Raw genomic sequence first — 26,666 nt, forward strand, 5'->3', positions numbered from 1 at the left:
TATTCTCACCACCCATAATTAACTATTGCTGATATTTTATCATATTTGCTTTCATTTTAAAGATAAAAAGCATTTTTACATATTTAAGTTCCCTTTACTCACTATCCTGTATCCTATTCCATTTCCTCTTCCTCATGGGTGCAAGTTTGGTATATTTCTAAAAGAATATTTCAAATATACATAAGAATGTATTAGAGTGCTGTTTGGCATGTATTAGGTTGGTGCAAAAGTAATTGCGGTTTTTGCTATTACTTTCAATGGCAAAAACCATTGTATAATAGTAACAATTCGTTACTTTCAATGGCAAAAACCGCAATTACTTTTGCATCAACCTAATACTAATTAATTTGGCTTTTTAGATCTATACATATTAACATATTTAAAGCTAGTCATCTTTTTACCTCTGTATTTTATTAATTATATTAATAAAATAGAGAGGTAAAATAATATTAATTCTTCCATTTCTCCATCGATGGATATAACATACCTGTATATATATATTTTTCTTATCTTCAGATTTATTAAAGTATTTGTGACCTAATGACTTTGAAATGCTGTTAAATGTTGAAAGCAGTGGTGCTTTGGTGGATGCTTGGTAGAGGGTGGGGGTTGGGGAAGAATTTTCTGTGTGGTTTAACCTAGAGTTAGAAATATATAGATAAATTTGAAATTATTTCTTCTATTTTTCAAGTTCTCTTTCTCAGCATTGCTACATCTTTATTGCTCTTACTTAATCTGTAATTAAATTAGGTAAATATGTCAATGTTTGCCACTACTATTATGTGCCTGTCAATTTCTACCCATACTCTTCCCCAAAATACCTTTCTGTAGTGCATACTTACAAAAATCATCAGAAAATTCAAAATCTTATGAAAATAGAAAATAAGAATTATTCATAATTTCAGCAAACAGTACTAACAGCCATTAACTTATTTGTGCATAGCCTTCCAGATTTTTTTACACATACGGTTTACATATACAACAAACTGTTCAAAAATTGCTTTTAAAATAAAAATATATTTATTGTATTTTTGATATTGGAACATATATTCTTATATAGTTTGTAACTGTACAGAAATATACAAAGGCATAATTGAAAATACTCTGTGATTTCCCTATAACTACAGTTTATTTCATGTATACCTTTAAAGACACTCTATATTTTCTTGTATGGTAATATGATAATGTGCTCAACTAATCTCATGTAAACAGATAGTTAATATATTTAAATAACATTTTAAAATGCTACAATGTATATACATTTTATACATAAATATTTTTGCATCCTCATCCGATTATTAGGCGAAGTGTCTAGGTTAGGCATTTCTAAATAAAGGTGGAAACATTCAAAATGCTGATATATATTTTCAAATTGCCCTATGGTTGTAACAATTCACACTTCAGCTAGCCTGAGAGGGCATTTTTTAGGGTCCCTGTCAACAAGAAGGTTTACCATTATTTTTTTCCCTGCCAATATGATAAGCCAAAAGTAGAATTTTATTGTTTTAACTTGATTTCTTTTTATTAGTAGTGAAATTAATCATCCTTTTTTAATGTCTATTGGCCATTTGCACTCCTTTTGTAAAATGCACGCTCCTGCTCTGTCTTCTTCCCTTCCCCTACTGGAGGTGTTCCTCTTTTCTTTTTGCTTTGTCAGAGTTCTTTATTATTCATTTTTCGTCTTATACGTGGGATCTGTTCGATTCAGGCTTTCACCCTTTTACTGCCTTACAGATTGCTAATATACATTCTCCATTGGTCTTTTAATGTCGTTTACAGAAGCTGACTCTCTACCGCCTCCTTCTCTCCGTCTCACCCTCTCTGCCTCGCCTGCTCTGTACTGTTCTGTTCTCTTCTCTCTCTCCCTTTGTTTCTCTCTCTCCCTTTTTTCTTTTCAGTGCAGAAGTTTTTAATTTTGACCGAGCCAAATCTATCAATCTAGGCCTGGCGCCGCGTCAGCAGAGGGGGCGGGGAGGCGAGCGCGGAACTGGGGGAGGGGAAGGGGCGGGGATCAGCAGGCGGAGCGGCTGCCAGAGTTGCTGGGAGTGCGCGCGGTCGGATCACAAGGCGGCGGCGGAGGAGGCCCAGAGACCGGAGCGCGGAGACCTCAGCCAGCGGCCTACGCCCAGGCCTTTCTCCACCGGAGGACCAGGGAACCGCAGTCTTCATCACAGAGGTACCGTGCTCCGCGCTCCCCGCCTGACCCGGCCCAGCCCGCTGCGGCGGTGCCTCCTTCCTTCCTCCTTCCCTCGCGCTCTCTCTTTCGCCCGCCCGCGCCTTCCCTGCCCGCCTGCGTCACCGCGGCCGCCATGGCTGAGAATGGCGAGAGCAGCGGCCCCCCGCGCCCCTCCCGCGGCCCTGCTGCGGCCCAAGGCTCGGCTGCTGCCCCGGCTGAGCCTAAAATCATCAAAGTCACGGTGAAGACTCCCAAAGAGAAAGAGGAGTTCGCGGTGCCCGAGAACAGCTCGGTTCAGCAGTTTAAGGAAGCGATTTCGAAACGCTTCAAATCCCAAACCGATCAGCTAGTGCTGATTTTTGCCGGAAAAATCTTAAAAGATCAAGATACCTTGATCCAGCATGGCATCCATGATGGGCTGACTGTTCACCTTGTCATCAAAAGCCAGAACCGACCTCAGGGCCAGTCCACGCAGCCTAGCAATGCCGCGGGAACTAACACTACCTCGGCGTCGACTCCCAGGAGTAACTCCACACCTATTTCCACAAATAGCAACCCGTTTGGGTTGGGGAGCCTGGGAGGACTTGCAGGCCTTAGCAGCCTGGGCTTGAGCTCGACCAACTTCTCTGAGCTCCAGAGCCAGATGCAGCAGCAGCTTATGGCCAGCCCTGAGATGATGATCCAAATAATGGAAAATCCCTTTGTTCAGAGCATGCTTTCGAATCCCGATCTGATGAGGCAGCTCATTATGGCTAATCCACAGATGCAGCAATTGATTCAGAGAAACCCAGAAATCAGTCACCTGCTCAACAACCCAGACATAATGAGGCAGACACTCGAAATTGCCAGGAATCCAGCCATGATGCAAGAGATGATGAGAAATCAAGACCTGGCTCTTAGCAATCTAGAAAGCATCCCAGGTGGCTATAATGCTTTACGGCGCATGTACACTGACATTCAAGAGCCGATGCTGAATGCCGCACAAGAGCAGTTTGGGGGTAATCCATTTGCCTCCGTGGGGAGTAGTTCCTCCTCTGGGGAAGGTACGCAGCCTTCCCGCACAGAAAATCGCGATCCACTACCCAATCCATGGGCACCACCGCCAGCTACCCAGAGTTCTGCAACTACCAGCACGACCACAAGCACTGGTAGTGGGTCTGGCAATAGTTCCAGCAATGCTACTGGGAACACCGTTGCTGCCGCTAATTATGTCGCCAGCATCTTTAGTACCCCAGGCATGCAGAGCCTGCTGCAACAGATAACTGAAAACCCCCAGCTGATTCAGAATATGCTGTCGGCGCCCTACATGAGAAGCATGATGCAGTCGCTGAGCCAGAATCCAGATTTGGCTGCACAGATGATGCTGAATAGCCCGCTGTTTACTGCAAATCCTCAGCTGCAGGAGCAGATGCGGCCACAGCTCCCAGCCTTCCTGCAGCAGATGCAGAATCCAGACACACTATCAGCCATGTCAAACCCAAGAGCAATGCAGGCTTTAATGCAGATCCAGCAGGGGCTACAGACATTAGCCACTGAAGCACCTGGCCTGATTCCGAGCTTCACTCCAGGTGTGGGGGTGGGGGTGCTGGGAACCGCTATAGGCCCTGTAGGCCCAGTCACCCCCATAGGCCCCATAGGCCCTATAGTCCCTTTTACCCCCATAGGCCCCATTGGGCCCATAGGACCCACTGGCCCTGCAGCCCCCCCTGGCTCCACCGGCTCTGGTGGCCCCACGGGGCCTACTGTGTCCAGCGCTGCACCTAGTGAAACCACGAGTCCTACATCAGAATCTGGACCCAACCAGCAGTTCATTCAGCAAATGGTGCAGGCCCTGGCTGGAGCAAATGCTCCACAGCTGCCGAATCCAGAAGTCAGATTTCAGCAACAACTGGAACAGCTCAACGCAATGGGGTTCTTAAACCGTGAAGCAAACTTGCAGGCCCTAATAGCAACAGGAGGCGACATCAATGCAGCCATTGAAAGGCTGCTGGGCTCCCAGCCATCGTAATCACATTTCTGTACCTGGAAAAAAAATGTATCTTATTTTTGATAATGGCTCTTAAATCTTTAAACACACACACAAAATCGTTCTTTACTTTCATTTTGATTCTTTTAAATCTGTCTAGTTGTAAGTCTAATATGATGCATTTTAAGATGGAGTCCCTCCCTCCTACTTCCCTCACTCCCTTTCTCCTTTGCTTATTTTTCCTACCTTCCCTTCCTCTTGTCTCCCCACTCCCTCCCTCTTTGTTTCCTTCCTTCCTTATTTCCTTTAGTTTCCTTCCTTAGCCGTTTTGAGTGGTGGGAATCAATGCTGTTTCACTCAAAAGTGTTGCATGCAAACACTTCTCTTTATTCTGCATTTATTGTGATTTTTGGAAACAGGTATCAACCTTCACAGTTGGGTGAACAAGTGTTGTCCTACAGATGTCCAATTTATTTGCATTTTTAAACATTAGCCTATGATAGTAATTTAATGTAGAATGAAGATATTAAAAACAGAAGCAAATTATTTGAAGCTCTCTAATTTGTGGTACGATATTGCTTATTGTGACTTTGGCATGTATTTTTGCTAGCAAAATGCTGTAAGATTTATACCATTGATCTTTTTTGCTATATTTGTATACAGTACAGTAAGCACAATTGGCACTGTACATCTAAAAATATTACAGTAGAATCTGAGTGTAATATGTGTAACCAAAATGAGAAAGAATACAAGAAATGTTTCTGGAGCTAGTTATGTCTCACAATTTTGTAGAATCTTACAGCATCTTTGATAAACTTCTCAGTGAAAATGTTGGCTAGGCAAGTTCAGTTAAAATATAGTAGAAATGTTTATCCTGGTATCTCTAAGTATACATTTAATTGTACAGAAAATTTACAGTGTAACATTGTGTCAACATTTGCAGATTGACTGTATATGACCTTAATCTTTGTGCAGCCTGAAGGATCAGTGTAGTAATGCCAGGAAAGTGCTTTTTACCTAAGACTTCCTTCTCAGCTTCTCCCATAAAGAGACCCTAATATGCATTTTGATTTGTAATTGGAAATGTAACTTTCACTGAAAGTGTCATGTGATGTTTGCATTACTTTTAACTGCTATGTATAAAGGAAAGTGTGTCTTTTGACTTCATCAGTTATTTCTCTTGTGCACAGAGAAAAATGCATTAAAAATGACTAAAAAAAATAAAAAATTAAAAAATGGATAAATCTTTTCTTTTTGCCTTTTGGCCCTAGGATCGTGTTTAGGAGGATTATCCCACCCCGAGATTATATAAATCTTATCCTATATTTCTCTAACTTATATGGTTTTATTTAGAAAATGTTTTGTCCTGTCTGGAATTATCTTGATGTATGGATTTAGGTATTCTAACTTTTTTGCCCCAAAGGGTTAGCCAGTTGTTAACATATTTACCTTTTCCCCCAACATATGAAATGTCATACATGTATATACTTTATTCTGTGTTTGGATTCCCTTTAGTTCCATTGAACATTGTGGCACCAGTACACCAGCCTGTAGATGAGTTAGAAATGGGACTTTGTATCTTTTAATGTGAGACCTCCTCTTGATCTTTTTTATTTTTTACAATATTCTGACGATTCTGACATGTTTATTTTACCAGATGAATTTTACAGTTAATAGATTCTTCCCCCAAAAATATATTGAGAATTTGGTTGGGATTCTCTTAAATTGATATGACTGTGAGGACTACAGAATTGCATTGCTTTCCAGAAACATGTTGCCTTGTTTCTGAAAAACTTTATATATCCTTCAAGAGAGTTTTACTTAAATCCTATATAATTTGTAATAAATATGTTCCTAGGTAATACAGACATACAGGGAACACGTTGATACTGCTTATTGGAGCTTTTAATATGTTACCTATGTGGTCATTTTTGCTATATAGGAGAAGAATTTATTTGCATCGATTATTTTAAATTGGCAATTTATTGAAATCTATTAATTTTAGAGATATTCATTTGATCCTTTTGAGTTTTTCCAGGTGAGAAATCCTATCAATTATGTTATAATTATATGTTTTCCTTTTCAAAATTTATAACATAATTTCTGACTGCATGGGTTAAACATTTTCATAACAGTGCTAAATAATAAAGGTGGCAGTGGCATTTTTGTCTTGTTTCTCATTTTAGCCAGAATGTGTTTGCTACAGCAATTCCAAATTGTGTTTTGTGAAAAAAAAATATTCTTCTGGGAGACAAGGAAATACATTTGCAAAATGCTGTATACTTTAATCTCTCTTGGAGACTCATTGTGCAATAAATGTTGGCTAGTATTTTTTTTTAATGGGTAGCTTCTTCAATTAAAAAAAAAAAAAACTATTTAACTTTGTGTAACTCAGCATTTTCCGAACTTATTTGAGCACAGAACCACCTTTTTTTTTTTCTTTTAAACACACCTAATACCATTTGGCCTGTCAGTGTTCCTCAGAACACCAACTTAGGAAATGGTGATTTATTATTTCATTACTATATCATGCCAGGTATTTGACATAATCACAAAGTCTGTCATAATAAATTCAGTAATTTTAATGACAGATGATTTTATATGGAAATAAATATAAAATTGTAGGCATAGAAAATAACAAGAAATCAATAGCATAGTAGAAACTGGATATTGGCTGAGGCCTGGCTCAGGCAGTTTAGCAGATCAGTTTCTTTCAAACACTCAAGGAACAGGAAATTATTTTATTAGCTTTGCCAAATGTTTATTTTTAAGTGTATTTTGTTTTCTCTTGGAAAAGATCCACGTCTTTACTTTATTAAGTCTACTATTATTTTGCTTATAACTTCATTTATTTTGGCCTTTTAAAAATTACTTTTAACTGTTCTTCCTCCATCTCTTACATGATGTAATTTCCTCCTATTATGTTGCAGGTTCTTTTTAAAGGCTCTGTTTTTGTTTTGGGTTTTCTTCATCTACTATTGATCCAAGATTTATCCATTTATTCATCATTGAATCAAGAAGGGTATATCCTGACCTGCTATCCCTCCCCCTCCAACAAGAGTGGAACAATTATTTTGTATCCATTCACTGTTTACTGGGTTGTCACCCCATCCAACAAGAGTGGAACAGTGTTTTTGTATCCATTCCCTGTTTACTGGGTTGTCACCCCCTCCCAATGGCTCTGCGATCCAGCAAGATGTGGTAGTAGGGAGGGAGCTAATGCCAGGGGCAAACCCAGCAGGATGACTTCACCCTCAAGACAGCTTTCCTCATTTGCTTTTGTCCTCTGTTTCAGGTACGTGATATCATACATACTTTCTCTACTCGTGTGGGAGGGGAGGGGCAGGGGGCATATACACAACTTGGAAACAAAACCTGTTGGTTCATTAAAGGGGACTTTTGCATCAAGTTGAGATCTCCATGCTAGTTGAGAAACTAGGATCAGGAGACACCTGTATTTGGGTGTGGACAAGCTTGCCCTCTGAGAGAGGACAGCCTGCTCCAAATTATGTTAATCTGCAGTGTCAAAATAGGACCAAATTGACTAATTCCTGTTAGGGCCAAGCCTAGTGATCAGGGTTGAGATGTCAGGAAAGCCATTTGGCCTGTGTCTTATAATTCAAAAAGGGATTCAAATTCAGACTTTTGACACTATCCTAAATGAACTGATAACTCTAGCCACAAAGCCAGACTGACCTGATGTAAATGTTTGTCATACAGCTTAATTTAGTATATGTAAAGAAATTAAATTATTTGGCAAATTTGATATTCCTAATTGAGTATTATTAAAAAAATATACTGAGGCCAGGCACAGGGGCTCGCTCATGCCTGTAATCTCAGTACTTTGGGAGGCCAAGGTGGGCAGATCACGTGAGGTCAGGAGTTTGAGACCAGCTTGGCCAATGTGGTGAAACCCCATCTCTACTAAAAATACAAAAAAAATTAACCAGGCGTGGTGTTGCACGCCTGTAATTCCAGCTACTCAGAAGGCTGAGGCACGAGAATCACTTGCACCCATGAGGCAGAGATTGCAGTGAGCTGAGATCACACCATTGCACTCCAGCCTGGGTGACAGAATGAGACAATGCCTCATAGAATTAAGGACCTATTCTCATGCCACCATTTTCCCAGAATTCTGTTAGAAGACTTAGGGGAAAAGCAGTTTTCTGTAAATAGAAAGGAGAAGCATGATTCAGCAGATATCAGACTGAAGCCACCTCAAAGAGCAGGCGTCATCAGGTGGTGCACATGCTTGCATAGGCTTTACACACTTTGACCATGGGTAAAAACCCTTGGCAAAAGCTGCTGTAAACCAACAAGTTCAAAAGTTTGGGTAATGTCATTTTAAAAAGGAGTTGTTTGTCCCAGCATACAAGGACAACATTTATTTGTCCAGTGGGTATGAATCGAGGCATATAGCTCCAGCTGTATTGAGGTATCTGAGCACAGATTTGAGCTCCCTAAAACAGCACTTTTGGAATCCATATTTAGAACTGTGTAGATTAGCAAACTTAAGATAATTTCAAGAAAGATTCTGTAATTCATTATTAAAAGCATGGTTGATGAGCTTGAAAGAAAGAAGAAAGATGATTACTCGGCCCTAGCATGTATTTCACAAGATTGCCAAACTGAATTTTGTTAGGTTAGAATAACAATAATAGCTAACATACTCATTGCTATGTTCAATCTCGTAGTAGCTCTGTAAGGTAGCACAATTACAAGCTTCCCCAGCTTACAGATAAGGAAATAAGCTGAATGAGACTAAGTAACTTGAGCAAGGTCACACTACTTACTATTAAGTGACAGAGTCAAGGTTTGAACCCAGTTCTGAGATTCTAGACTATGCTCTTAAGCAGTACATTATACTGCCTCCCCTTAAGTCTATTAAACTATACTGGTCTGTTAATCAGAGATTTTACTATAAGTTGTATACTAGCTGGCCTCCTGGGTGTTGTTCGGGAGAACATTGGCTCTTGTTAAATAAATACATCTCTGCTACTGTTCACATTGGAGCAGTCTACACAAAAATGCACATGTGAGAGTCAGCTCTGTCATAAATCAGTAACTGCAACTTAAGAGCTTTGCCTTTCTTACTTTCAAGATGTGGCTAATATTTGAAACTGCCCTTAAATACATCCGTTTATAGTGGCCTAATACATAACAGTATGTCTCCAAAAAAGCAATCACATGGGCCACTTGTACTTCAGGTGCTCTGGAGGATGCCTACCTTTTTGCTGAACCGCCTTCCAGAGATCTCAAAAGGCAAACATTATGTACCTCATCAAGCCGTTTGGCAGTTTCTCATAATATCCTTGAGATTAAAATGGAGTAACAAGATGATAATGACAGGACAGTAGATGGGTTAATAATTTGAATTGACAGTGTTCAACAATATAGATATCAAAGTGATCAAAGGTTTCCAACCTTAGCCCTGTCCCATCAAAGTTGTTTTATAATGACTAGCAAGAAAATATAAAATAGCATGCCCATCCCATTGCAAATAATATAGAATTAGATGGCAGAATAAATGTACTTGATATCACTAGCATGATCCGGAAAGTCCTTAGGGGCTGAGAAAAAAAAATAGCCAAATCTAGCAGGATTAAATTGAATAGGATCAAATATGAAGTCCTGTACTCATATCAAAAATTCAGTTACCAAGGGGAGGTGGTTATGTGGCCTAACAATTGCATATATGAAGAAGACTCTAGTTTTTTTTCTTTTTTCATTTTTTTGAGACGGAGTCTTGCTCTGTCACCCAGGCTGGAGTGCAGTGCGCGATCTCGGCTCACTGCAACCTCCGCGTCCCGGGTTCAAGCAATTCCCTGCCTCAGCCTCCCAAGTAGCTGGGATTACAGGCACCCGCCACCACGCCTGGCTAATTTTTGTATTTTTAGTAGAGACAGGGTTTTACCATTTTGGCCAGGCTGGTCTTGAACTCCTGACCTCGTGATCCACCCACCTCAGCCTCCCAAAGTGCTGGGATTACAGGCGTGAGCCACCGCTCCTGGCCAAGAAGACTCTAGTTTTAATTTACTCTAAGTTCATGAGCCAGCCGTGTGAGGTTACAGTGTACCACATATAATGAAATATTAAGCTCCATTAATAGAGTCATGGTTTCCAGAACAAGGAAGGCCTTAAAAATCATGTTTATTCTGTACTTGATAGTTTATGTTGGGAGATTTGGGTCATATCAGAGTGGCACAATCAAGATGGACACAGACAACCTGGAAAGTGACCAAGAAGGTGACTGGTTTACAAGCAGACAAGACAGTTTTTGAAATAATCAGGAATGCTTTACTCTAAAGACAAGTTTGTGGATATTTTCTGCAAATAATTGAAGTCCTGTCACACAGAAGAGAGGTAGCATTTACCTGAGTACCTCCAGAGGGCAGATCAATTCAAATGTTCAAATAAGTCAAAGTTGTTGCCTACTGTTAGTAACTTTCTATCATTTAATTGTAGATGCTTTGCTTTCTGGAGCTGCTTCAGCAGAAGCCCACTTGGCAGAAATGTTTAAGAATGGTTTTATGTATCAGGTAGAACTTTGGATTAGAAGACCAACAACGTTCTTTGCAAAGCTAATGTTCTCCCAGTGGACTTTACAGCTTCTTATGAAGATGTAAATTCTGGGATCAAAGTTGATCTAGAATGAAGTCATGTTACAGACTTCTATCCTGCATTTCCTAGTTTAGTAAACACTCATGAGTAGACCGAATACATTTTTTTACATATAAGATCTAGGTAAATTCATCATTTTAATCTTTAATGCTACATATGGTAAAAGGACCCAAATCATATAATGTTAAAATGAATGTCACAAAGTACTCAGAGCTTGGGAGGAGAAAATAGGAAGGGATGTCTGAGGTCAAAGGACTCTGGTTAGAGGGTGAAGGCTACAGGAGTACTCTGACCTCCTGTTTCTCTTGATAATATTCCCCTACCCCTTGTCATTCACAGTGGTGGTTAAAGTGGTGGAAGTAAGCTGAAACAGAGTGGAATGTGAAATGTGATGGCAGAGGGTATTTTTTTAATTCCATGTATATTTCTTTAGTCACAGTGATCGTTTTGGAGCAGGAAAAAAAATGTTTGTGTTTTCCATTATGTGACACCCAAGTGGGTGTCCTTATATTAAATAAATTACCTTAAGATTCTGAGTCACTATAGTTTATATTCTTTATAAGTTGCACTAGAATTCCAAAGAGTCTGGAAAAGAACATCCTGGTGTTAGTGACAGGCTGAAACACAACACACATCACATTCCTTATTTGTGGATATAAATTGAACATCAAATATGTGTAGGAGACAGTGCATGTATATGTTTCTGTGTGTTTGTAATTTTTGCTTTGCCAGCTAAATCAGCGTTCTCTCCACATACTCATAATGATGAACCACCTTCATACTATTCTACATTAGATATTTGCCTTCTGCATAGGCCTTGACGTGGTTGAACCACAAATCATGTGACCAGAGGCAAAATCACAGCACACTGCAGCCTTGAACTGGGCTCAAGCTATCCTGCGTCAGCCTCCTGAGTAGTTAGAACTACACGCATGTGTCAACATGCCCAGCTAATATTTTTTAAAGTTTTTCTTTTAGAGATGGGTTCTTGATATGTTGCTCAGGCTGGTTTTGAACTCCAGGTCTCAAGTGATCTCTTGCCTTGGTCTCCCAAAGTTCTGGGATTATGAGTGTGAACCACTATGCCCAGCCTTGTTTGGCTTATTTTAAAATAAACTTTTCATCCTAAAATGATTCCAGATTTATAGAAAAAATATTCAGACAGTACAGAGTTCCCATATACCCCCACCAAACTTTTCCCTATTATTCAGATCTTTACATTAGTATAGTGTGTTTGTTACAATGAATGAAGCAATGTTGATACCTTGTTATTAAGTCCATACTTTATTCAGATTTCCTTTTTTTATTATCATTATTATTATTTATAGAGACAGGGTCTCGCCCTGTGGCCCAGGCTGGAGTGCAATGGTGCGATCTTGGCTCACTGCAACCTCCACCTCCCAGGCTCAAGCGATTCTCCTACCTCAGCCTCCCAAGTAGCTGGGACTATAGATGCATGCCACCACAGTGGCTAATTTTTGTATCTTTTTGAAGAGATGAGATCTCGCCATGTTGCCCAGGCTGGTTTTGAACTCCTGGACTCAAGCAATTTGTCCGCCTTGGCCTCCCAAAGTGCTGGGATTACAGGCACTGCGCCTGGCCAGATTTCCTTAGTTTTTACCTAATGTCCTTTTCCTGTTCTAGCATCCCATCCAAGATACCACATTGTATTTAGTCATCACATCTTCTTAGGCTCTCTTGACTGTGACAGCTTCTCAGTCATTCTTTGTTTCTCATTACTTTAACAAATTTGAGGAAGACCACAGAGGTGAAGTGACATTTTTATTACATACCAAGCATGCATACTATCAACATGACTTATTACTGTTGATGTTGATTAAACTTAATCACTTCGTTTGCGTTAGTGTGTGTCAGTTTCATCCACTATGAAGTTATGTCCTTCACCTTTCAATACTGTACTCTTTTTAAGGAAGTTACCGTGTGCACCCCACACTTAATTGGAGAGTTATGCTCCACATTTTTGAGGATGGAGTATCTACATAATTTATTTGGAAATCTTCTGCATGGGAAATTTATCTCTCTGCTGCCATTTATTTAAAAGCATATTTATATCAGTATAAACTCATGGATATTTTATACTTCAGGTTATAATCCAATACTATTTTATTTTGTTGCTCAAATTGCTCCATCTGTGGCCATTGAGTGTTTTTCTGGCTGACTCACAAGGCCTTTTGGTACACTCTGTCTTTTTTTTCCTGTTTTTAGCACTTCCTTACTTTCTGGCACTGCAAGTTTCTCCAGGATTATCTTGTATATTTCTTGGCCCACTTCTTCTAGGACCCCTGGTTTCATTTATTGGAGAATTGCACTGGAGCCCAAAATCTGGGTGCTAGGTGTTCTTGTTGCTATTGGAGTGTTATTGATTCTAGGCCCTGTTAGCTGACTGAGCAAGGAAATATATGTGCATCAAGACCTTTGTATATACACATTTCTATAAATGTTTCTTTTATGTGTAATTATCTGGATCTATATTAAGCTAAACATGAGATCTTTCTGATGTCTCCAATTCTAATCCATTGCCAAAGGATCATTAATAATCCATATGGATCGTTCAAACTTCCTTTCTCTACTTATCTGTAACCTCTCAACTGCAACAGTGAGAAACCTGGCTTCAGTTATCTGCCATCCATTTACTTATTGTTCAATTTCAGTACACATGTACAGCAGTATCAGAACTGTTAACCTATGCCTCATGGGAAATAACTTTGTTAAATAAAATCAAGAGCTTATGTAAAGTTTCTTTTGCCTTTAGTCTTACAGACTCGACTCATTTCTATAGTGACTTACGTCAAGATCTTTCTTCCCACACCCTTCAATGAGGTTGTTTTGTATATTTTATTACAGTTAAATTGTTTTGTCACATTGTACATTTCATCCCTGGGATCCCTCAACCTCTTAAATTTTTTAAAAATGTGTATATATTAAGATCCACTCTTTGTGCTGTAAAATTCTATGGTTTTTGACAAACATGTAGTATCCTATATCTACCACTATCATAGAGAATAGTTTCACTGTCCTACGAAGTCCCTGGCGGTTCCACTATTCAACCCTCTGAACCCCTGGCAATCACTGAACTTTTTATCATCACTATAGTTTTATCTTTTTCAGGAATTCATATAATTAGAATAATACAGCATGCAGCCTTTTCAGAGTGGCTTCTTTCACTTAACAATTTGCAGTTAAGATTCATTGAAGTCCTTTTGTGGCTTGATACCTCATTTCTTTTAATGTGAATAACATTCCGCTTCATTGGCATACCACAGTATGTTTATTTATTCACTCATTGAAAGACATCTTGGTTGCATACAGTTTTGGGGATTATGAGTAAATCTGCCATAAATATTCACATGCATGAAACCCCTTTAATTTGGTCTGGGATTTTTGAAATTTATGCTTACTTTTTAGATTTTAAAACATGATTACCTTTTAATAAAATGGAATATATACTCATTATAAAATAAATTTTAAATGTGAAATATAATGAAGAAAATAAGAAAAAACACACATAATCAGAAATAACCACTATTTTTTTTTTTTTTCCAGACGGAAGTCTCTTTCTGTCGCCCAGGCTGGAGTGCAGTGGCGCGATCTCAGCTCACTGCAGCCTCCGCCTTCTGGGTTCAAGCGATTCTCCTGCCTCAGATTCTCCAAGTAGCTGACATTACAGGCTCACGCCACCATGCCCAGCTAATCCCGGTTAAGTTTTGTATTTTTAGTAGAGACGGGATTTCACCATGTGAAATCCCAGCTAGGCTGGTCTTGAACTCCTGGCCTCAAGCGATGCACCCACCTTGGCCTTCCAAAGTGCTTCGCCTTCCAAAGTGCTGGCATGAGCAACTGTGCCAGGCCAGAGATAACTACTATTTCATTTGTATATATTTTTTCAACTTTTATTTTAGATTCAGTTGGTACATGTGCAAGTTTGTTATCTGAATATAGTGTGTGATGCTGAGGTTTGGGGTATGAATGATCCCATCCACCAGGTACTAAGAATAGTACTCAACAGTTAGTTTTCCAACCTTTTTCTCCCTCCCTTCCACACTAATGGACCCCAGTGTCTATTGTTGCCATCTTTATGTCCATGAGTACCTGATGTTTAGCTCCCACTTATAGGTGAGAATACATAGTATTTGATTTTCTGTTCCTGATTCACTTAAAATAATGGCCTCCAGCCACATATATGTTGCACCAAAGTACATGATTTCATTCTTTTTTCTTGCTGTGTACAATTCCATTTTGCATATGTGCCATATTTTCTTTTTCCAATCCACTGAGGATGGGCACCTAGGTTGATTCTATGTCTTTGGTATTGTGAATAGTGCTGCAATGAACATGTGAGTGCATGCATCTTTTTGGTAGAACAATTGGTTTTCTTTTGGATATATAGCCAGTAATGGGATTGCTGGATAGAATGGTAGTTCAGTTTTAAGTTCTTTGATAAATCTCCCAACAGCTTTCCACACTGGCTAAACTAATTTACATTCCCAACAACAGTGTATAAGCATTCCCTTTTCTTTGCAGCCTCACTAGCATCTGTCGTTTTTTGACTTTTTATTAATAGCCAATCTGACTGGTGTCAGATGGCATCTCATTGTGGTTTTGGTTTGCATTTATCTGACATGATGATGAGCATTTTTTCATGTCTTTGTTAGCCATTTGTATATCTTCTTTTGAGAAGTGTCTGTTTATGTCTTTTACCCCTTTTTAATGGGTTTGTTTTATTTTATTTTTTGGTTGTTCGATTGTTTAAGTTCCTTATAGATTCTGGCTATGAGACCTTTGTTGGATGCGTAGTTTGCAAATATTTTCTCCCATTCTGTAGGTTGTCTGTTTACTCTGTTGATAGTTTATTTTACTATGCAGAAGCTCTTTAGTTGAATTAGGCCCCACTTGCCAATTTTTGTTTTGTTGGAATTGCTTTTGAAAATGTAGACATGAATTCTTTCCCAAGGCCCATGTCCAGAATCATGTTTCCCAGGCTTTCTTCTGGGACTCTTATAGTTTGAGGTTGTACATTTAAATCTTTAATCCACCATGAGTTATTTTTTTATATGGTGAAAGGTAGTGTGGTCCAGTCTCATCCTTCTTCTTATGGTTAGCCAGCTATTTCAGCATCATTTATTGTATAGGGAATCCGTTCTCCATTGATTATATTTGTTGACTTTGTCTGCCAAAGATTAGATAGCTCTGGGTGTGAGGCCTTATTTCTGGGCTTTCTAACCTATTCAATTGGTGTATGTGTATGTTTTTGTATCAGTTTCATGCTGCTTTGGTTACTGTAACCTTATAGTTTGAAGAGGGTTAACATGATGCCTCTGGCCTTGTTCTTTTTGCCTAAGATTGCTTTGGCTATTCGGGCTCTTTTTGGGTTCCATAGGAATTTTAGAATGGTTTTGTCCAATTTTATGAAAAAAAAAATAATATTGGTAGTTTGATAGGAAAGCATTAACTCTGTAGATTGCTTTGGACACAATGGCCATTTTAATATTGGTTCTCCCAATCCATAATCATAGAATGTTTTTTCGTTTGTTTGTTTCATCTATGACTTAGTGGTTGTATAGTTCTCCTATAGAGATTCTTCATCTCCTTGGTTAGATGTATTCTTAGATATTTTCTTTTTGTTGTGTTTATTATAAATGGGATTACATTTTTGATTTGGCTGTCGGCTTGAGCTTTATTGGTGTATGGAAATGCTGCTTGTTTCTGTATATTGATTTTGTATCCTGAAACTTTTCAGAAGTTATTTATCAGTACTGGGAGTCTTTTGGCAGAGTCTTTAGGGTTTTCTAGATAGAGAGTCATATTGCCTGTCAAGAGAGATAGTTTTGTTTCTTCTTTTTCTATTTGGATGCCTTTTATTTCTTTCTCTTGCCTGATTGCTTGGCTAGGACTTCCAGTACTATGTTGCATAGCAGTGGTGAGAGTAGGCATCCTAATCTTGTTCCAGTTCTCAAGGAGAATGCTTCCAGTTTTTGTCTATTTAGTATGATGTTAACTGTGGGTTTGTCATGGATGGCTGTCATTATTTTCAGGTATGTTTCTGTAATGCCTGGTTTCTTGGAGAGGTTTTTGTTTTGTTTTGTTTTTAGCGTGAAGGGATATTAGATTTTATCAAAAGCTTTTTCCCTGTCTATAGAGATGATCATATGGTTTTTGTTTTTGATTCTGTTTATGTTGTGGATCATGCTTATTGATTTGTATATGTTGAACCAAACTTGCATCCCAGGAATGTAGCCTACTTGTTCATGGTGAATTAACTTTTTGATGAGCTGTTTGCTGATATTTTGCTGAGGATCTTTTTGGTCTACATTCATCAGCGATATTGGCCTGTAGTATTGTTTTTGTTGTGTCTTTGCTAGATTTGGTACCAGGGCGATGCTGGCTTTGTGGAATAAGTTGGGGAGGAGTTTCTCTTCCTTGGTTTTGGAAATAGTTTAATGGAATTGTTTCCAGCTCTTCTTTGTGTGTCTTTTGAATTCAGATATGAATCCTTCTCATGCAGTGCTTTATTATGTTTGTAGGTTTTCTATTACTGATTAAATTTTGGAACTTGATATTGGTCTGTTCAGTGTTTCAATTTCTTCCTAATTCAATCTTGGGAGACTGTGTTTCCATAATTAACCTTTTTTTTTTCCTACATTTTCTAGCTTGTAGCTTGTATGTGTAGAGGGCTGTTTTTTTGTTTTTGTTTTTTGTTTTTGGAGACAGAGTCTTGCTCTGTCACCCAGACTGGATTGTAGTGGCATGATCTCAGCTCACTACAACCTCCGTCTTCAGGGTTCAAGCGATGCTGCTGTCTCAGCCTCCCAAGTAGCTGGGATTACAGGCACCCACCACCACGCCCAGCTAATTTTTGCATTCTTACTAGAGATGGGGTTTCACCATGTTGGCCAGGCTGGTCTCGAACTCCTGACCTTGTGATCCGCCTACCTCGGCCTCCCAAAGTGCTGGGATTACAGGCATGAGCCACCGTGCCCGGCCAGTGGGGTTTTTAATAGTCTCTGAGGATTTTTTGTATTTCTGTGGGATCAGTTATAATGTCACTTTTGTTGTTTCTGATTGTGCTTCTTTGGATATTCTCTTGTTTTCCTTCTTAATCTAGCTAGCAGCCTGTCCTTTCAAAGAACCAACTTTTGGTTTTGTTGATTCTTTGTATGAATTTTTTTGTTTCAATTTCATTCAGCTCCACTGTGGTTTTAGTTCTTTCTTTTCTTCTGCTAGCTTTGGGCTTCATTTTTTCCTTGTTTTTCTAGTTCTTCTAGGTGTGATGTTAGATTGTTAATTTGAGATCTTTCCAACTTTTGAGGTAGGCATTTAATGCTATAAACTTTCCTCTTAACACCGCTTTTGCTGCATCTAGAGATTTTCGAATGTTCTGTCTCTGTTTTCATTTATTTCAACTAATTTTTTGATTTTTTGCCTTGATTTTATTGTTTACCCAAAAGTCATTCAGGAGCAAATTGTTTAATTTTTATGTAATTGAGTGGTTTTGAGAGAGCTTCTTGGTATTAATTTCTATATTTATTCCATTGCGGTACAAGAGTATGGTTGATATAATTTTGATTTTTTTGAACTTAATGATGTTTGATTTATGGCTGAGCATGTTCTGTGTAATAATCGTGGACTATGTTCTGTGTGCAGATGAGAATGCATGTTCTATGGTTGATGGGTGGAATATTTTGTAGATATCTATTAGGTCCAATTGGTCAAGCGACTAGTTTAAGTTCAGAATCTCTCTGTTAGTTTTCTGTCTCAATGATCTGTCTAATGCTGTTTGTGGAGTGTTGAAGTTCACCACTATTATTGTGTGGCTTTGTAAGTCTACATGTAGGTCTTAGAAGTCCTTCTTTTATGAATTGGGATTTTCTGATGTTGAGTGCATATATATTTAGGATAGTTCAGTCTTCTTATTGAATCGAACACTTTATCATTATGTAATGTCCTTCTTTGTCCTTTTTCCTGTTCTTAAAGTCTACCTTACGTGATACAATAATAATGATGTCTGCTCTATTTTTTTTCCATTTATGTTGTACTTTTTCACCTTTTTACTTTGAGCCTTTGGGTATCATTACATGTGAGATGGGTCTCTTCGAGACAGCAGACGGTTGCCTCTTGTATTTTATCCAACTTGTCACTCCATGCCTCTTAAGTGGGGTATTTAGACCATTTACATTCAAGGCTAATGTTGATATGTGAGGTTTGATCCTATTGTGAGACTGTCAGCTGGTTACTTTTTAATTTATATTGGGTTTTGTAGGGCCTGCGGGCTATGTACTTAAGTATGTTTAAGTATGTTAAGTATGTTTTTGTGGTAGTGGGTATCATACTTTTCTTTCCATGATTAGAACTCCCTTAAGGATCTCTTGTAAGTATGGTCCAGTAGTAACAAATTTTCTTTGTGCTTGCTTGTCTGGAAAATATTTTATTTCTCCTTAGGTTACGAAGCTTAGTTTGCTAGAATATGAAATTCTTCATTGGACTTTCTTTTCTTTAAAAATGATGAAAATGGGCCCCCCATATCTTCTGGCATGTAAGGTTTCTGCTGATAAGTCCACTGTTAGACTGATGGGATTCCCTTTTTATGTGATGTGCCCTTCTCTAACTGCTTTCAAGGTTTTTTCTTTATTGTATACCTTGAACATTCTGGTTACTTTATGCCTTTGTGGTGTTCACTATCTCACAGGTGTTCTCTGTATTTCTTGTACCTGGATGTCTACCTCTCTAGCAAGATAATGGAAGTTTTCTTGAATTATTCCCTCAAATATATTTTCCAACTTGTTTGCTTTTTCTCTTCTCTTCTCAGGAATTACAATAATTTGTAGATTTGGTCATGTTGCATAATCCCATAGCTCTCAAAGGCTTTGCTCATTCTAAAAAATTACTTTTTCATTTTTATCAGACTGGGTTAGCTCAAAAGACTCATCTTCAAGCTCCAAAATCATTTCTTCTGCTTGGTCCAGTTTATTAATGAAGTTTTCAGTTGTATTTTGAAATTCCTTAAGTGAGTTTTTCAATTTGAGAAACTCTGATTTATTTCTAAGATGTTTGTCTCTTCCTTTCCTGAATTGCTTTAGAAGTTTATTTTTATTGATTTTCAGCCTTGTCTTGCATCTCACTGAGCTTTCTTGCCATCCATGTTTTGAATTCTTCATCTGTCACTTCTGAGTTTCCTTTTTTTATTATTATTATACTTTAAGTTTTAGGGTACATGTGCACAATGTGCAGTTTAGTTACATATTTATACATGTGCCATGCTGGTGTGCTGCACCCATTAACTCGTCATTTAGCATTAGGTATATTTCCTAAAGCTATCCTTCCCCCTCCCCCCACACCACAACAGTCCCCAGAGTGTGATGTTCCCCTTCCTGTGTTCATGTGTTCTCATTGTTCAATTCCCACCTATGAGTGAGAATATGCGGTGTTTGGTTTTTTCTTCTTGCGATAATAGTTTACTGAGAATGATGATTTCCAATTTCATCCATGTCCCTACAAAGGACATGAACTCATCATTTTTTATGGCTGCATAGTATTCCATGCTGTATATGTGCCACATTTTCTTAATCCAGTCTATCATTGTTGGACATTTGGGTTGGTTACAAGTCTTTGCTATTGTGAATAGTGCCGCAATAAACATACGTGTGCATGTGTCTTTATAGCAGCATGATTTATAGTCCTTTGGGTATATACCGAGTAATGGGATGGCTGGGTCAAATGGTATTTCTAGTTCTAGATCCCTGAGGAATCGTCACACTGACTTCCACAATGGTTGAGCTAGTTTACAGTCCCACCAACAGTGTAAAAGTGTTCCCATTTCTCCACATCCTCTCCAGAACCTGTTGTTTCCTGACTTTTTAATGATTGCCATTGTAACTGGTGTGATATGATATCTCATTGTGGTTTTGATTTGCATTTCTCTGATGGCCAGTGATGGTGAGCATTTTTTCATGTGTTTTTTGGCTGCATAAATGTCTTCTTTTGAGAAGTGTCTGTTCATGTCCTTCGCCCACTTTTTGATGAGGTTGTTTGTTTTTTTCTTGTAAATTTGTTTGAGTCCATTGTAGATTCTGGATATTAGCCCTTTGTCAGATGAGTAGGTTGCGAAAATTTTCTCCCATTTTGTAGGTTGCCTGTTCACTCTGATGGTAGTTTCTTTTGCTGTGCAGAAGCGCTTGAGTTTAATTAGATCCCATTTATCAATTTTGGCTTTTGTTGCCATTGCTTTTGGTGTTTTAGACATGAAGTATTTGCCCATGCCTATGTCGTGAATGGTAATGCCTAGGTTTTCTTCTAGGATTTTTATGATTTTAGGTCTAACGTTTAAGTCTTTAATCCATCTTGAATTAATTTTTGTATAAGGTGTAAGGAAGGGATCCAGTTTCAGCTTTCTACATATGTCTAGCCAGTTTTCCCAGCACCATTTATTAAATAGGGAATCCTTTCCCCATTGCTTGTTTTTCTCAGGTTTGTCAAAGATCAGATAGTTGTAGATAAGCGGTGTTATTTCTGAGGGCTCTGTTCTGCTCCATTGATCTATATCTCTGTTTTGGTACCAGTACCATGCTGTTTTGGTTACTGTATCCTTGTAGTATAGTTTGAAGTCAGGTAGCATGATGCCTCCAGCTTTGTTCTTTTGGCTTAGGATTGACTTTGCGATGCGGGCTCTTTTTTGGTTTCATATGAACTTTAAAGTTGTTTTTTCCAATTCTGTGAAGAAAGTCATTGGTAGCTTGATGGGGATGGCATTGAATCTATAAATTACCTTGGGCAGTATGGCCATTTTCACGATATTGATTCTTCCTACCCATGAGCATGGAATGTTCTTCCATTTGTTTGTATCCTCTTTTATTTCCTTGAGGAGTGGTTTGTAGTTCTCCTTGAAGAGGTCCTTCACATCCCTTGTAAGGTGGATTCCTAGGTATTTTATTCTCTTTGAAGCAATTGTGAATGGGAGTTCCCTCATGATTTGGCTCTCTGTTTGTCTGTTATTGGTGTATAAGAATGCTTGTGATTTTTGTACATTGATTTTGTATCCTGAGACTTTGCTGAAGTTGCTTATCAGCCTAAGGAGATTTTGGGCTGAGACAATGGGGTTTTCTAGATATACAATCATGTCATCTGCAAACAGGGACAATTTGACTTCCTCTTTTCCTAATCCAATACCCTTTATTTCCTTCTCCTGCCTAATTGCCCTGGCCAGAACATCCAACACTATGTTGAATAGGAGTGGTGAGAGAGGGCATCCCTGTCTTGTGCCAGTTTTCAAAGGGAATGCTTCCAGTTTTTGCCCATTCAGTATGATATTGGCTGTGGGTTTGTCATAGATAGCTCTTATTCTTTTGAGATATGTCCCATCAATACCTAATTTATTGAGAGTTTTTAGCATGAAGCGTTGTTGAATTTTGTCAAAGGCCTTTTCTGCATCTATTGAGATAATCATGTGGTTTTTGTCTTTGGTTCTGTTTATATGCTGGATTACATTTATTGATTTACATATATTGAACCAGCCTTTCATCCCATGGATGAAGCCCACTTGATCATGGTGGATAAGCTTTTTGATGTGCTGCTGGATTCGGTTTGCCAGTATTTTATTGAGGATTTTTGCATCAATGTTCATCAAGGATATTGGTCTAAAATTCTCTTTTTTGGTTGTGTCTCTGCCTGGCTTTGGTATCAGGATGATGCTGGCCTCCTAAAATGAGGTAGGGAATCCTCTTTTTCTGTTGATTGGAATAGTTTCAGAAGCAATGGTACCAGTTCCTCCTTATACCTCTGGTAGAATTTGGCTGTGAATCCATCTGGTCCTGGACTCTTTTTGGTTGGTAAGGTATTGATTATTGCCACAATTTCAGAGCCTGTTATTGGTCTATTCAGAGATTCAACTTCTTCCTGGTTTAGTCTTGGGAGGGTGCATGTGTCAAGGAATTTATCCATTTCTTCTAGATTTTCTAGTTTATTTGTGTAGAGGTGTTTGTAGTATTCTCTGATGGTAGTTTGTATTTCTGTGGAATCAGTGGTGATATCCCCTTTATCATTTTTTATTGCATCTATTTGATTCTTCTCTCTTTTCTTCTTTATTAGTCTTGCTAGTGGTCTATCAATTTTGTTGATCCTTTCAAAAAACCAGCTCCTCGATTCATTAATTTTTTGAAGGGTTTTTTGTGTCTCTATTTCCTTCAGTTCTGCTCTGATTTTAGTTATTTCTTGCCTTCTGCTAGCTTTTGAATGTGTTTGCTCTTGCTTTTCTAGTTCTTTTAATTGTGATGTTAGGGTGTCAATTTTAGATCTTTCCTGCTTTCTCTTGTGGGCATTTAGTGCTATAAGTTTCCCTCTACACACTGCTTTGAATGTGTCCCAGAGATTCTGGTATGTTGTGTCTTTGTTCTCATCGGTTTGAAAGACCATCCTTATTTCTGCCTTCATTTCATTATGTACCCAGTAGTCATTCAGGAGCAGGTTGTTCAGTTTCCATGTAGTTGAGCGGTTTTGACTGAGTTTTGTAATCCTGAGTTCTAGATTGATTGCACTGTGGTCTGAGAGATAGTTTGTTATAATTTCTGTTCTTTACAGTTGCTGAGGAGAGCTTTGCTTCCAACTATGTGGTCAATTTTGGGATAGGTGTGGTGTGGTGCTGGAAAAAATGTATATTCTGTTGATTTGGGGTGGAGAGTTCTGTAGATGTCTGTTAGGTCCTCTTGGTGCAGAGCTGAGTTCAATTCCTGAGTATCCTTGTTGACTTTCTGTCTCGTTGATCTGTCTAATGTTGACAGTGGGGTGTTAAAGTCTCCCATTATTAATGTGTGGGAGTCTAAGTCTCTTTGTAGGTCACTCAGGAGTTGCTTTATGAATCTGGGTGCTCCTGTATTGGGTGCATATATATTTAGGATAGTTAGCTCTTCTTGTTGAATTGATCCCTTTACCATTATGTAATGTCCCTCTTTGTCTCTTTTGATCTTTGTTGGTTTAAAGTCTGTTTTATCCGAGACTAGGATTGCAACCCCTGCCCTTTTTTGTTTTCCATTTGCTTGGTAGATCTTCCTCCATCCTTTTGTTTTGAGCCTATGTGTGTCTCTGCATGTGAGGTGGGTTTCCTGAATACAGCACACTGATGGGTCTTGACTCTTTATCCAATTTGCCAGTCTATATCTTTTAATTGGAGCATTTAGTCCATTTACATTTAAAGTTAATATTGTTATGTGTGAATTTGATCCTGTCATTATGATGTTAGCTGGCTATTTTGCTCGTTAGTTGATGCAGTTTCTTCCTAGCCTCGATGGTCTTTACAATTTGGCATGATTTTACAGTGACTGGTACTGGTTGTTCCTTTCCATGTTTAGTGCTTCTTTCAGGAGTTCTTTTAGGGCAGGCCTGGTGGTGAAAAAATCTCTCAGCATTTGCTTGTCTGTAAAGGATTTTATTTCTCCTTCACTTATGAAGCTTAGTTTGGCTGGATATGAAATTCTGGGTTGAAAATTCTTTTCTTTAAGAATGCTGAATATTGGCCCCCAGTCTCTTCTGGCTTGTAGAGTTTCTGCCGAGACATCTGCTGTTAGTCTGATGGGCTTCCCTTTGTGGGTAACCCGACCTTTCTCTCTGGCTGCCTTTAACATTTTTTCCTTCATTTCTACTTTGGTGAATCTGATAATTATGTGTCTTGGAGTTGCTCTTCTCAATAAGTATCTTTGTGGCATTCTCTGTATTTCCTGAATCTGAATGTTGGCCTGCCTTGCTAGATTGGGGAAGTTCTCCTGGATAATATCCTGCAGAGTGTTTTCCATCTTGGTTCCATTCTCCCTGTCACTTTCAGGTACACCAATCAGACGTAGATTTGGTCTTTTCACATAGTCCCATATTTCTTGGAGGCTTTTTTCGTTTCTTTTTATTCTTTTTTCTCTAAACTTTCCTTCTCACTTCATTTCATTCATTTCATCTTCCATCACTGATACCCTTTCTTCCAGTTGATCGCATTGGCTCCTGAGGCTTCTGCATTCTTCACGTAGTTCTTGAGCCTTGGCTTTCAGCTCCATTAGCTCCTTTAAGCACTTCTCTGTATTGGTTATTCTAGTTATACATTTATCTAAATTTTTTTCAAATTTTCAACTTCCTTGCCTTTGGTTTGAATTTCCTCCTGTAGCTCAGATTAGTTTGATTGTCTGAGGCCTTCTTCTCTCAACTCGTCAAAGTCATTCTCCGTCCAGCTTTGTTCCGTTCCTGGTGAGGAGCTGTGTTCCTTTGGAGGAGGAGAGGCGCTCTGCTTTTTAGAGTTTCCAGTTTTTCTGCTCTATTTTTTCCCCATCTTTGTCGTTTTATCTACTTTTGGTCTTTGATGATGGTGATGTACAGATGGGTTTTTGGTGTGGATGTCCTTTCTGTTTGTTAGTTTTCCTTCTAACAGACAGGACCTTCAGCTGCAGGTCTGTTGGAGTTTGCTAGAGGCCCACTCCAGACCCTATTTGCCTGGGTACCAGCAACGGTGGCTGCAGAACAGGGGATTTTTGTGAACCAAAAATGCTGCTGTCTGATCGTTCCTCTGGAAGTTTTGTCTCAGAGGAGTACCCGGCCATGTGCAGTGTCAGTCTGCCCCTACTTGGGGGATGCCTCCCAGGTAGGCTGCTCGTGGTTCAGGGATCAGGGACCCACTTGAGGAGGCAGTCTGCCCATTCTCAGATCACCAGCTTCATGCTGAGAGAACCACTGCTCTCTTCAAAGCTGTCAGACAGGGACATCTAAGTCTGCAGACGTTACTGCTGTCTTTTTGTTTGTCTGTGCCCTTCCCACAGAGGTGGAGCCTACAGAGGCAGGCAGGCCTCCTTGAGCTGTGGTGGGCTCCACCCAGTTCGAGCTTCCTGGCTGTTTTGTTTACCTAAGCGAGCCTGGGCAATGGCGGGTGCCCCTCCCCCAGCCTTGCTGCCACCTTGCAGTTTGATCTCAGACTGCTGTGCTAGCAATCAGTGAGACTCCATGGGCGTAGGACCGTCTGAGCCAGGTGCGGGATATAATCTCCTGGTGCACCATTTTTTAAGCCCGTCTGAAAAGCGAAGTATTAGGGTGGGAGTGACCCCATTTTCCAAGTGCCGTCTGTCACCCCTTTCTTTGACTAGGAAAGGGAACTCCCTGTCCCCTTGCGCTTCCCGAGTGAGGCAATGCCTCGCCCTGCTTTGGCTGGTGCACGGTGTGCTGCACCCACTGTCTTGCGCCCACTGTCTGGCACTCCCTAGTGAGATGAACCCGGTACCTCAGATGGAAATGCAGAAATCACGCATCTTCTGCATCGCTCATGCTGGGAGCTGTAGACTGGAGCTGTTCCTATTCGGCCATCTTGGCTCCCGAATCTGTGAGTTTCCATTTTGGTTAAGGATCATTGCTGAAAGGCTAGTGCAATCTTTTGGTGGTTTCACTACATTCAGATTTTTCATAGTGCCAGGATTCTTATGCTGGTTTCTCTTCATTTGGATTTGCTAGCACTTCTAATTTGGGGGTAAGATTTTTTTCTTTCACTGTGTTTTTTTAAAAGTTTTTAAAGAAATGTTTTTTTCTTTCCCTTACTGTAGAGAATGCTGGGTAAGTTCTTTTGGCTTTGCTTCTATAGCCCTGTGCACTTCTTTCAGCAGGCTTTATATTGGGCTGTACAGTTTGTCCTATAAGCCTATAGATGGCACTTATATGTAACAGTTAGCTATAGCCAAGGAGGCTAGGTATATACTTAATCCTTGTTTACTATCAGCTCTCTGTTGCCTCAGGCATTGGGCTGATTGGTAGACTGCGCAGAGATCTGAGATCCCTGCTTAGCCCTGGTGGGATGGGAGCCATGAATGGTGGGGCCAGACTGGGCAATTCCACCTGCTGGTCCCCTGATGGCAGACACAAGCACCAGTGCCAGGGGAA

General features: G+C 39.4%; 1 protein-coding gene across 1 annotated transcript, besides 3 other annotated features; it reads left to right on the top strand.

The window, feature by feature from the left end:
* Positions 1,766-2,393: an enhancer, noted in NCBI's record as "H3K27ac hESC enhancer chrX:56589763-56590390 (GRCh37/hg19 assembly coordinates)". NCBI's record gives its function as "activates a minimal SCP1, AML or CMV promoter by ChIP-STARR-seq in primed H9 embryonic stem cells {active_cell/tissue: H9 hESC(primed)}" and the evidence as "EXISTENCE:reporter gene assay evidence [ECO:0000049][PMID:30033119]".
* Positions 2,063-6,304, top strand: UBQLN2 (ubiquilin 2). Its single transcript, NM_013444.4, has one exon. It carries the CDS (start codon positions 2,310-2,312, stop codon positions 4,182-4,184), a length of 1,875 nt encoding a protein of 624 aa, NP_038472.2. The 5' UTR covers positions 2,063-2,309; the 3' UTR covers positions 4,185-6,304.
* Positions 2,790-2,989: an enhancer, noted in NCBI's record as "active region_29687". NCBI's record gives its function as "activates an Ori minimal core promoter by ATAC-STARR-seq in GM12878 lymphoblastoid cells {active_cell/tissue: GM12878}" and the evidence as "EXISTENCE:reporter gene assay evidence [ECO:0000049][PMID:35858748]".
* Positions 3,000-3,059: an enhancer, noted in NCBI's record as "active region_29688". NCBI's record gives its function as "activates an Ori minimal core promoter by ATAC-STARR-seq in GM12878 lymphoblastoid cells {active_cell/tissue: GM12878}" and the evidence as "EXISTENCE:reporter gene assay evidence [ECO:0000049][PMID:35858748]".

This window comes from Homo sapiens, chromosome X (genome assembly GCF_000001405.40).
Source record: "Homo sapiens chromosome X, GRCh38.p14 Primary Assembly".
Taxonomy (NCBI): domain Eukaryota; kingdom Metazoa; phylum Chordata; class Mammalia; order Primates; family Hominidae; genus Homo; species Homo sapiens.